Source organism: Homo sapiens, chromosome 6, assembly GCF_000001405.40.
Source record: "Homo sapiens chromosome 6, GRCh38.p14 Primary Assembly".
In the NCBI taxonomy this organism is placed as follows: Eukaryota; Metazoa; Chordata; class Mammalia; order Primates; family Hominidae; genus Homo; species Homo sapiens.
Genome location: NC_000006.12, coordinates 111,203,877 through 111,217,056, shown reverse-complemented (window position 1 = coordinate 111,217,056; position 13,180 = coordinate 111,203,877). Strand labels below are relative to the sequence as shown.

The 13,180-nt window shown below is 42.2% G+C and overlaps 1 protein-coding gene across 2 annotated transcripts in view; it reads right to left on the bottom strand.

Annotated features, from left to right (window-relative positions):
- SLC16A10 (solute carrier family 16 member 10) overlaps positions 1 to 13,180 on the bottom strand; it is a 143,692-nt gene that overhangs the window by 14,138 nt on the left and 116,374 nt on the right. Inside the window, exon 4 of one of the 2 annotated variants that reach the window (NM_018593.5) lies at positions 10,322 to 10,465. In NM_018593.5, coding sequence (NP_061063.2) covers positions 10,322 to 10,465 — 144 coding nt within the window. Of the gene's footprint in view, positions 1 to 10,321; positions 10,466 to 13,180 lie in introns of those variants that run through there. The other variant, XM_047418167.1, reaches the window with a different exon arrangement.

The following is a 13,180-nucleotide window of genomic DNA, read 5'->3' as shown; positions in this document are numbered from 1 at the left end:
CTGTCCTCATCTGTTCTGTTTTTCCTAGGCCCTACTAGCACACCTACGGACCTACGGAAGCTGGAGGTTGGTAGTACACCTCGGGGCAGCCACTCACAATCTGAGGGCCTCTGAAGGTGCAGAGTGTGAGTTCTGGGTGGAATTCAGGAGTGTTGGTTTTCACAACTTTAACACAAGTGGTCCACTGACACCAAAATAGGAAACATGCTCCTGAAAACTGTTTCATATTGGGTTAGTTCTTTTTGACACCATCATATCATACAGTTCGGTACATTTTTTCTTCAATCACTAAACTATGGTCTTATGGTAAAATTATGATTCGTTTAGGAATACGAGTTGGCCGGCTGGGCGCGGTGGCTCACGCCTGTAATCCCAGCAGTTTGGGAGGCTGAGGAGGGCGGATCACGAGGTCAGGAGATCAAGATCATCCTGGCTAACACGGTGAAACCCCGTCTCTACTAAAAATACAAAAAAAAAAAAAAAAAAGTTAGCCGGGCGTGGTGGTGGGCGCCTGTAGTCCCAGTTACTCGGAGGCTGAGGCAGGAGAATGGCGTCAACCCAGCAGGCGGAGCTTGCAGTGAGCCGAGATCGCCCCACTGCACTCCAGCCTGGGCGACAGTGTGAGACTCCCTCTCAAAAAAAAAAGAAAAGAAAAGAATACGAGTTGGGCATTTGAAAAATAAGCCTAGCACTTCACACTAGCATTTCAAAAGAACAAAATCTCCCCATTCTCCTGACTTTTGTTTGCCAGTTAAATATCCTTTTCTCCAATGCAACTTCCATGACAGCACAAGCATAATTTCTTAGTGGTGAGTAATTGTTGGGCCTACAGCCTGGCAGGTTGGAAAGAACTGGGGCTCAGAGGGACACTACCAGGTTCTAAGCTCTCTATGACCTTGAGCAAGTAAAAAGACTTCCTGATACTTCCCATTTATTGAGACAAAAAGAGATTTAAAGATAAATCAAAATGTAGAAAAGGGTTTGAAATTAACAAGCAGGTAAAGATTTAAGTAGTAATTTTTATTGAAAATCTAAGTAGATAAACCCCAATTTTTTATTTTTGAAACAGGTCTCACTTTGTTGCCCAGGCTGGAATGCAGTGGTGCGATCATAGCTCACTGCAGCCTCAACCTCCTGGGCTCAAAGTGATCCTCCCACTTTAGTCTCCCAAGTAGCTGGGACATGCCACTATGCCCGGCTAATTTTTTATTTTTTGTAGAGATGGGGTCTTACTATGTTGCCCAGGCCATTCTTGAACTCCCGGGCTCAAACAAACTACTTGCTTTGGCCTCCCAAAGTGCTGGGATTATAGGCGTGAGCCACTGCGTCCAACTCTAATATTCTTAACAATAGAAACATTTTTATTCTATGTACAAACATAAAAGGAGATAAACATGGAAAGTTACTTAAATCTTAGAAACATATCTATAATCACAAACTCCAGAGAATCTAGAATAAAACTTTAGGATGGTACGGGGCCAGATTCAATGGATTTAATTGTTAAAACTATAGACCAAACATTCCCAACCATGCCACTGTAATTATACAAGGTTTTCAGGAATATATATTTTTTTCTTTTAATGTGCTTCATATTTTTTTTCTATTTTGGTCAGTACATATTTCCTTTTTTTTTTTTTTTTTTAACACCAGTACCACTTGCCAACAAATTTCTTTAAAGATAAGAAAACCAGCTCTGTGGAATTTTATACTTAGTTAGTGTTGGAAGCCTAGTACAGTACTTGGCTTTGTTAACTTTTCAACTTTGTTAAGTGCTAATGTTGTTTTAGAACAATTTACATAACATGAGTCTTGGAACTTGGCCTCTTCACGTTTTTGTTCTTTGGTCAGTTTTGTAAAAATTATTCAAGTAAAAGTTTCCAACTTATTGCTATATATTTTGAGCATAATATTTCTTTTTTTTATTTTTTTTATTTTTTTGAGATGGAGTCTTGCTCTGTCACCCAGGCTGGAGTGCAGTGGCGCGATCTCGACTCACTGCAAGATCTGCCTCCCAGGTTCACAACATTTTCCTGCCTCAGCCTCCCGAGTAGCTGGGACTATAGGCGCCCACTACCACGCCTGGCTACTTTTTTGTATTTTTAGTAGAGATGGGGCTTCACTGTGTTAGCCAGGATGGTCTTGATCTCTTGACCTCGTGATCTGCCTGCCTCGGCCTCCCAAAGTGCTGGGATTACAGGCATGAGCCACCGCGCCCAGACTGAGCATATTATTTCTTAATACTTTCCCTGACTGCAAGTTGTCCTTTTCTCCATTCAAGCTATATTAAGTTATATTCTTATTAAAATTAGGCAATGATTTATGTAGTTATTTAAATGTAAAATTTTTTCATTTTCCTTTAAGACTTGTGTTTATAGAAATTTACACATCTATTCTTTAAGTACTTCTCAGAAAAATACTTTGCTTCTTCCACCTTATTTGTAGCTACTGTAGTGATGCTCTTTCCCAGCAGATGTTAATACCCAGAATCTGGCTAAATGTGGAGGTAAGTAGGTGAGGCTCGTGAGAACGTACCTATTCCTTATATGCAGGGATGCCTGGGCCACAAGGAGCACATGCCGACGCTCGGCAAACTATACATATAGCAGGTTCAATGCTTCATCACTCCCCAGAATAAAGATTGATCCAGGCATCAAATACTGATCTGGTGATGCTGGGACTCAGTGTGAAAGATGAATAAACTTAGTATTACATACAATCTTTTAAAACTTGCTCTCAAACACAGCAGCTCTGGTTAGATTCGAGTAAGGAATTCACAGGCTCCTTATTTTCTCCTAGGCTCTGGCACTGACACTTAATAAGCCAGTGACAGTTTAGATGTCTATATTGCTTTTGTTTTCTTTAAGGAAATATATCATAAATATATAATACTTGTTATAATAGTACAGGCTATAGAAGTATTAACCTTCTATGAGTTAGTGTATGCACATGAGAACAAAAGATTCCTTTTGCTCTTACTTTTCCCATTTCTATCTCAAGGAGAGCATTGCTGGAGAAATGTCAGTTTAGGTTTTGCTCAAGAATCTTAAGTGTAGCTCAAGAGGAAACAATGAGCTGCACCTGAATAAAAGAAGGCATCTTGGAGATAGACATGTAATTGACGTTCCTAAAGTTTAGCCCATATAAAGTCTCCAGACTTTCAGAACCTCTGGCTAGGCACCCAGGACAGAAAACAGTTGGCAACAGAGTTCTGCTGGCCCATCACAAACTAAAGGAAAATGTCAGGCCACACAGCAGGTGGCTGGATTCTTCTGAAGCACACAGAGGCCAGTGTCACTTCGAAGTGCTTCACAGGGAGTCTGTCAACCTTCTCCATGGCACATGGTTACTCTCACTTCTGCCTGATGGAGAAACATGCATTTGATACGTTCACACCCAGTGCCACAGTCTAGATGAGACTGAGTACGGAGCCTCTGATCATTTACTTAGGCTGGGAAGTTGTTAAGTATTTGGATTTACTACTTTGGAAATAGCTTACATTTGATAAAGTATATACCCTCATCCCAAGATATCTTTAGGCAAATGTAAAATGCTAAAATGGAAAATGGAGCAACACTGATCCAATTCATTCTACCTGAACCGGAAGAGGAAGCTTAGGCAGACTGATGGATAGGAAAGTCATTAATATTTCTACATTACAAAAGTAACTCATGAATATATTTTTTAAAATTCAAACCTTAGAGAAATGTACACAGTAATATATGAAAGTCTTCCTACAACCTCTTCTCACTCTCAACCCATGCCCATTCACCTCCTCAGGAATCAACACTTAACAGTTCGGTTTGCATCCTTCCAGAGCGTTCCTGTGCACATGTGTGTGTTGTCTGGGTTGTCTGCTTTATGTGCATGGACATGATGTCCATGCTTCAATATGTCCATGTCACAGAGAAATATGACACAATGGAAAAGTGATCTAAATTCCAAGTTTTCAATTCTTTCATACACAGTTTTAACTTTCAAACCTTTGAAATATTCTCACCCTTCCAAAACACTTATATATTACATTAAAAACACAAATCTGTAGTAATTTAATGGTGACTAGAAACACAGGCCTATAAGATTAAGAAAATAGTAAAAAGATACCACGACACACGTAGCTTCTCCTGTCCCAATAAAGTATATATTCTGGGAACTTTTGCAAAGCTTTTCTTTAACCATTATTATTCTACGTAATGCACTTCAGTCATCTCTTCTGGCAGGAGCAGTAGACTTGACTCAGCATTTTTTTTTATTTTTTTATTTTTTTGAGACAAAGTCTTACTCTGCCACCCAGACTGGTATGCAGTGGCATGATCACAGCTCACTGCAGCCTCAACCTCCCCAGCTCAAGCAATCTTCCCATCTCAATCTCCCAAGTAGCTGGGACTACAGGTGTAGGCCACCATGTCCAGCTAACTTTTTAATTTTTTGTAGAGATGAGGTCTCACTATGTTGCCCAGGCTGGTCTTGCATTCCTGGGGTCAAGGGATCCTTCTGCCTTGGCCTCCCAAAGCGCTGGGATTATAGGCATAAGCTACTGCAACCAACCACTCAATATTTAGAATTATTAGGTTGAAAACACCTGGGACCCAGGACCTTGATGGAAGTTTAAATTCAGAACTCTTAAGCAAAAATGTGAGATAAATTCATAAATTCTTTGTTACCTATAAGCAAAGACTCTAATTCAGGATTAGACCCTAGTCTCCTTTCTTGAGACCTATTCCAAATCAGGATCTGCTTTCAGTATTTAATAAGATATTAAAACATAACAGATGCAAGGATTTATTAATCATCCAGTCTGGGCTAGGCACTTTACATAACCTGCCACCAAGAATCCTCACCACAGCCCTCTGCTGATTCTCAAGTTGGTGGTAGAACTGGGGTGAACTGGCTTCTCACTCCAGAGCCTGTGCTCTTGGGCTCGGCAGCCTCCTAGACTAGGGATTACCATGATCTGAAACTAGACCATGCGGGAGGGCTATGAAGTGTGTCTGTGTCACCAGTGTTCTAGGCCTGGCTGCTACTCAGAACTGGCTTCCAGGGGACAAAGAGGGAAGAGTTGTCACAGCCCCAAGAAGTTGAAAGATGAAAGCAGGGAGCAGGTATGTCTGAGAAAACACACCACCAATGAATGGAAAGAAGGTAAGCCCAGGAGCATTCCAAGCCTTAAAGGATGGGCCAAAAGGCAGAGAGCCAGGGATGGAGAAAAAGGAAGGAACAAACAGGCAGAGCTGGAGTCAACTGCAGCAGAGAAGAGCCAAGAATCAAAAACCACACTGTGTGTTTGGGATGTTGGGGCAAGGAAGCCATGAAAAAGGAGAGAGAGGAGGTAGTGAATAAGGGAACGAGTCCAGCATCCTGCATGGGTTAGGCCTGTGTTGCGTCCTGTGCCGCTGTGTTCACAAGGTGGAGTCCGTGAGTGGCTCCTCGCAACCACAGGACACACTGAAGGGCTTTCTTTCTCCTTCTCAGGCTTGTTTGAAATGCAGCTGTCACACCTGTGACTCAGCATGTGCTACTGGGTGCCACAAACGATGCTCTACATTTGGATGCAAAAATTAGATAAGGCCTAACAGAAGCCAGATTGTGGCTAAACTTTCATCTAAAGTGAAATATTTGACCCCCAATACTAACTTTTAACTTACTGCTGTGTAACTGCAGACCAACATGGGACAAGTTAGGAAAGGCTATATTTTCTTTTGTAAATTACTGGAAACAGTCAGGTATTAAAATGTGCTCCAAAAATGTTGCAGATAATCTGTCTGCCCTATCTAGGGTAGGAGGACGTTCAAACATTGTTTTGGAATAAAATGCTGATATATAAAATATATCATGACTTTATCTATTACAGCACCATAGTCCATCATCTCTCACCTGGACCCTGAATTGATCTCCTAACAGGTCTTCCTCCCCTCTTGCACTCTTGTTTCCCTCCCTGTAATCCATCCTCCAAACACAGAACAACCACAGTGACTTTAAAAACAAAATCAGACCTACGTCCTCCAACAAAGGTCCACTACTTTTTTTTTTTTTTTTTGAGACGGAGTCTCACTCTGTCACCCAGGCTGGAGTGCAGTAGTGCGATCTCGGCTCACTGCAACCTCTGCCTCCCAGATTCAAGCGACTCTCCTGCCTCAGCCTCCCCAGTAGCTGGGACTACAGACGCGTGCCACCAAGCCTGGCTAATTTTTTGTAATTATAGTAGAGATGGGGTTTCACTGTGTTTCGATCTCCTGACCTCGTGATCCGCCAGCCTTGGCCTCTCAAAGTGCTGGGGTTACAGGCGTGAACCACTGCGCCCGGCCAAAATCCACTACTCTTAAAGCAAAGTCTCTTCATCCTGGCTTTCAAGGCTCTGTCTAATCTGACCCACTCTAACTTTCCAGTCCCTTCCCATGCCACTTTCCCCATCTTCTTGGGTTTCCACACACATTCGGCTTCTTCCTGCCTCAGGCTTGCTTTAGGAACTCAGGGACCATGTCTGTCTTGTTTGCATCACCCTAACAGCATCTGAGCTGGTGCTTGGGGCACAGGAGGCACTCAATTTTTGAATGTATGAAAGCTGAAAGTCTGTAGTGCAATAAATGTCCATTAGAGGGCTCCCTTGACACTAGAGAACAAAACTAAATGTTAGATGAGGATGTCCACAGTGAAGTACTGACAAAGTGATCATGATACAATAAATACATTTTTAAAAGCAGCACATTACCAACTCTCTTCACTTCCTTCTAGCTGTGTGACCAGACTGTCCTGTGACTGCCTGGACCTCTATACACACAGACACCCACAGTGAGGTAGCCTCTCAGTTCCTCAGTGTTCACATCTCTAAGTGGAAATAACAATGGTACCTCCTCTCTTAAAGGGCTGGGGCAAGGATCAATGAGATAATGCATGTAGAGCCCTTAGTTCATTGTCTGGCACATGAAAGTCCTCAATAAATGGTTGACTGTTATTACTTCAAGTCAATTAATGGAAGTTAACTTTATCTGTAATGCCTTTTCCAATCATTTTCCTGTGTCCAAATTTCACCTCTTTTTCAAGGCCCTGCTCAAATACTGCCTCTCATGTATAATATAATTAGACAGGCTTAATCCTCAAAACCTAAGACCCCCCCTTGTGGCTTGCCTTTACCTTCCTTCCACAGCCAAGCATTTGGACAAAGTTGTCTATATTTCCATTTGTTCAAATGATCATGATCAATTTTCTGCACCTGTAGAAACCATTCTCTGTAAGCTCACTCATAGCCTCCCTATTCTAAATTCAATGAAAACCTTTCAGCCTCTTTGTCACTAGCTACTGACACTGCTGACCACTCCTGCCCCTAGAAACACTCTCATCCCTGTTTTCCCCCTGCCTATCTGGCCACTCCCTTTCCATCTCCTTAGTCCTCCACTTACTTCATGCAGCCCATGAATGCCAAACCCACAGGCTTCCTAACCCACAGGCCTCTTAACCCACAGGCCTCTTATCCAGACTCTTCCATGAGCTCTAAACACTACTTGGCTTTCCTACAGGCATCACAAACAACATGGCAAAAACAAACTCATCACTGGGGCAAGGGCAGGTAGGTTGGGTGAAAATTTTTTTTTAATTTAAAAAACCCCAATTCATCATCATACTTAGATCTACTGCATATTGATCTTGATAAGATGGCAAAATCATCTACTCCATTACCTGAGCCACAAATCTCAGATCCAGCCTAAGTGGCTTCATCAAATTCTCATTCTCTATGTCCCTAGCTTATTCCATTTGATCTCAGTATCTCTGCCTTGGTTCTTCCTGCCTAGATGCCTAGACTACTTTAATATAGTTTCCAACTAGTCCCTGGACCTCTACTCTTTTTCTCTAAATTTTAGAGACATGGTGTCACTCTGTCACCTAGGCTGGAGTACAGTGGCATGACCATACTCCCCTGTAATCTCAAAGTCCTAGGCTCAAAGTCCTCCCACCTCAGCCTCCTGCATAGCTAAGACTATAGGCATGTGCCACCGTGCCTGGCTAACTTAAAACAATTTTTTTTTTTTGGTAGAGATGAGGTCTCACTATGGTTCCAGGATTGTCTCGAACTGGCCTCAAGTGATCCTCCTGCTTCAGCCTCCTAAAGTGTTGATATTATGGGCATGAGCTGCCATGCCTGGCCTTTTTAAAAATAGCTTTATTGAGATATAATTCATATTCTATGAAATTCACCCACTTAAAGTGCACAATTCAGTGAGTTTCATCACTATCTAATTTTATAACATTTTCATTACCCCACAAAGAAACACAGTAGCAGTTACTCCCCATTCCCTCCTTTCCCTAGCCCCTACAACCACAAATCTACCTTCTTTCTCTATGGAAAGAGACAGAGATTCCTATTCTGGACACTTCATATAAATGGAATCATTCAGTATGTGGCCTTTTGTGACTATCTCAACTCTTGTCCCCTCCTCCACTCCATTCCACTCTTCACAGTTACCAGATTGATTTTTTTTTTTTCTCTGAGATGGAGTCTTGCTCTGTCACCCAGGCTGGAGTGCAGTGGCACAATCTCAGCTCACTGTAACCTCTGCCTCTCAGGTTCAAGTGATTCTCCTGCTTCAGCCTGCTGAGTAGCTGGGATTACAGGAATGTGCCACCATGCCTGGATAATTTTTGTATTTTTAGTAGAGACGGGGTTTCACCATGTCTAATCTCAAACTCTTGGCCTCAGGTGATCTACCTGCCTCAGCCTCCCAAAGTGCTGGGATTACAGGCATGAGCCACCACGCACAGCCGAAATTGATCTTTATAAAACACAACTCAGGCTGGGCATGGCTCACACCTGTAATCCCAGCACTTTGGGAGGCTGAAATGGGTGGATCGTTGGAGTCCAGGAGTTCGAGACCAGCCTGGGCAACACAGCGAAACCCTGTTACTACAGAAAAAAAACAAAAAAACAAAAATTAGCCAGGCATGGTGGCACGCACCTGTAGTCCCATCTACTCAGGAGTTTGAGGTGGGAGGATTGCTTGAGCCCGGGATGTTGAGGCTGCAGTGAGCTGTGATGGCACCACTGTACTCCAGCCTGGGAAACGGAGTGACACCTTGCCTCAAAAAACCAAAAAACACCAACCCCCGCCACCCCAATTTATGTCACTCTCTGGCTTAAAATCCTTTAATAGCTCCTAGTAGATTGCAGGATAGAGCTCATGTACATAACCGCCCTTCCCAAGCTGCTTCCTGTCCATCCCCCCAACCAATCCATCCACTATTCTCCCTTTATTCCATTCAAACATTTGTTTCCCAGATATAACATCCCATGTCACACCTCCACAGTGTGGGAGGTGTTTCCCATGTGTTTGTCTCTGCTCGGAGCATGCTTCTCTGTCTCCCTTATCTACACACTTGGTCCTCACCTCTTAACTCTGCTCAGCCCTTCACTAGTGACTCAGATGCATGGTGCCTGTGTTGCTATGGCACTCATCTAGCAAACCCGTTATTCCACTGTGCTGCAACACTGCTTTATCTTCTCCCATGAGACCATTAGCTACTAGGTGAGGGCACAGACCATGTTTCACTTAAGTCTTCAGCATTTAGCAGAGTGTGTGGCATGAAGGAGTCACTTCAATACCTGTTCTGTTGATTGTCAGCAATGATCTTGGAATTAGCATTTGTTTATGCTCACCCCAAAACACGAGGAGGCAATTTGCAGTAAAGAAGCTGAAAAGTCACACACACAACCAAATTTCATAAGACATGCAAAGGGCACAGGATCTGCACATGACTATGAGAACTACACCAAAAAACATTCTTCATAGAAAAAGCAATGGATGAAAACCATTCTGGTTTGGTGGAGTTCCACGACAAAACAAAGAAATTGTTGTTTCATTGCCAATTTCTCATGTTTAAAACCCAAACTAATAACTAATTTTGTCCTTGAAAAACTGCCTATAGAAGTTATGTTGTAGAAAATATTTCTCATTTTTATAGAAGAATTTAAGCCACTTTGGGAGGCCGAGGCGGGCAGATCACCTGAGGTCAGGAGTTCAAGACCAGCCTGACCAACATGGAGAAACCCCATCTCTACTAAAAAAATACAAAAATTAGCCTGGTGTGGTGGCACACGCCTGTAATCCCAGCTACCTGGGAGGCTAAGGCAGGAGAATCCCTTGAACCCGGGAGGTGGAGGTTGCAGAGAGCTGAGATCGTGCCATTGCACTCCAGCCTGGGCAATAAGAGCGAAACTCCATCTCAAAAAGAAAAAGGAAAGAAAAAAAAAGAATTTAAGCATGTAAGTACATTTAATGAGACATCGGGTGATGAGAGTAATTTTTGATAGGGGAAAAAAGGTGTAAAAAAGTACCTGTAGATAAACCTTCTTCACACCAGGCACATAATCTGCAATCCGGCCAAAGAGCAGTCGTCCAACTCCTGAAGTGACGCCAATGCACATGAGAACAACCTCTTTATTTTTTTCATCTTGAAATCTTTCATTTACATGTTTCATCTATAGGCCAAAGAGAAAGAAACCACACTGAATATGGTAGAAAAACTTGACAAATTTGAGGCTTTGCATCAAATGCATTTGCTTCTCTGCAATGTTATGGGCTTGCAACTTTTTCCAAATTTCAATATTTATGAAACTTGTCCTGTGATAATTTTCATGAAAACATTTGAAAAAAATTAACATGTTTTAGTTTTCATTTTTAAAAGCATTTTTAAGGCCGGGCATGGTGGCTCACGCCTGTAATCCCAGCATTTTGGGAGGTCGAGGTGGGTGGATCACCTGAGGCCAGGAGTTCGAGACCAGCCTGGCCAACGTGGTGAAACCTCATCTCTACTAAAAATATAAAAATTAGCCAGGCGTGGTGACGCATGCCTGTAATCCCAGCTACTCGGGAGGCTGAGGCAGGAGAATAGCTTGAACCCGGGAGGCAGAGGTTGCAGTGAGCTGATTGCACAACTGCACTCCAGCCTGGGCGACAGAGCAAGACTCCGTCTCCAAAAAAAAAAAAAAGCATGTTTATAAGAGTTTTTATTTTTCAACAAAGGGTTAGAAGCATGCAATTATAAGCTACACTGATCCATTAGCTAAAGGAAGAGAACAGACATTTGAACATACCTGTTCTCTCAAGGTCACCCAAGGACCCGTTACATTATCTGCTCCCTAAGAGACAGTTCAAGGGTCAATTCTGGAGTTTTATTTCTTCCAGGAGGACCTGGACCAAATTGACACCCCTGAAACGAGTTATAACAGAGCATCCAGAATAAAGCATAAGGTCCTCTACCTGTAAAGTTGCCTATCTGTGTAGCATTAGAACAGATTAAAATGCAGGGGCAGTTTAACATAGCAGTTAAAAGATAAACCTCTGGAGAGGCAGACTGCTTGCGTTCAAGTCCTGGTTCTGTTCTTATCAGCCTTGTGGCTTTGGATAACTTCTTAACCTCTAGGGTTTCAGTTTCTTTGTCTGTAAAATGGAAATTGGAAAAGTACCTACTTCAGAAATTGGTTGCGAGGATTAAATAAAATGTCTGTGTAAAGAGCTTAGAACAGTGTTTGGCACACAGTTAATAACAATCAGGTATTAATTTTAGCTTTCTTTTTTTTAAAGGACCTTTCTCCTCCACTTAGTGTACTTATAACAGAGACTACAGTGACCTGTGGGCCATAGATAGCCAGTGAGCATATTTTGTTTGACCTTTCCATAATGCCTGACAATCACCGTCCCCCACACCACACATTGGTCTGAGTTCTGGAAGTCTGCAAGCAAATTTCCCACCAAATACAACCACCCATATAGTGCCCATGTGGCAGTGCATAGACTTTCTGGGTGATATCTCTTTAAAACACTTCTCATTTTGCATTTTAAAAGCCCATTTATGTATCCCAACACCATCTCCTTTTTCTCTTCTCTTTCAAAACTATTAACTGTTTTCCCTAACTTCTGTGTTTTCATACTGGTCCAGAATAATCCTCCTAAATATGGCTTTAATCTCATCAATTCCTTATTCAAAGGTGGCCCACTGCCTACATTTACACTCCTTAGATTGGTATTCAAAGCTCTCCGTAATCTGTTGCTAATCTATCTTTGTACCTTTATTACCTACTGATCTTTGACTCAGAAGTAGAAAATTCATCTGACTTATAAGCCTGGATTAAAAAAAAAAAGTACAAAATTTAAATGTCTAAGGGCTCAGCGAAATAACATAAGTAAAACAGGTTCATTGGAGAGAAAGGACATATACTTCAGTCGATTATTATCATATAGGTCTACCAATGTTGCCAAATCTACCTCTAGGAGCCCTTTAGTTTAAAAGAAAAGTCAGAAATCCGGATTTTGTGTGGAAATGTTGGCACCTAATTTAAATTTAGGACACTGTGTGATCCAGCTCTACAAAAGTCTAACAAAACACGTCTGCAAACTGCATTAGGCCTGCTTTGATCTCAGCCCTAATCCCATCTGGCCCAGTAGGACAGGTTTATTCACAATGTCACTTAAACATGCCAACATGTTCTTATCCATCTACATTTCTGCTGCCTCTTCTACCCTCTTCAACTTCCTAACTTCTTGTTATTGCCAAAAGTTTTCATTTGGCACCTGAGGTATTCCGTGTTCCTACCCAGCCCTGTTAATGTCTCTACACATTCTCTTAAGTAGACACTTCATGTAAAATTAGACATATCCACTCCTGTTTCAAAGGCACCTCAAAGTCAACAGGCCCTGTGCTGAACTCAACTCACCCTCACAAATTGCCTGCCCCCCAATTCAGTTAATACACTACTGTTAGCCCAACTACCCATGGCAGAAACTGACAGCTACCCTAGATTATTCCCTTTCCCTCTTCAAATCCAAGAGTCACCACTGAATCCTGATGATTTACTTTCTAAATCTCTCAGACTTGTTTCCTTTGGCCCACATTCCTCATGGTATTTTAGTTCCATTCCTTTCACTCCTCACCGGGACCACTACAGCAGTCTTCTAACATGCTTCTTGCTTGAGCCCTCACTCCTAAATCTCTCCCCTCTAACCTATGTTCCCTGAGAACACCAGGTTAGGTTCAAAATGAACCTGTCTCCAACAAACAAAAATAAGAGGCATTCTTTAGTATTCATAAAAGACTGAATCTACCAGGCATCTTTTTTTTTATGAAACTAAGAACACCTGTCTGTCAAATGGCTATTATTCTTTATTAGTGGTTTATTATTTCCCCCCTGCTCTAC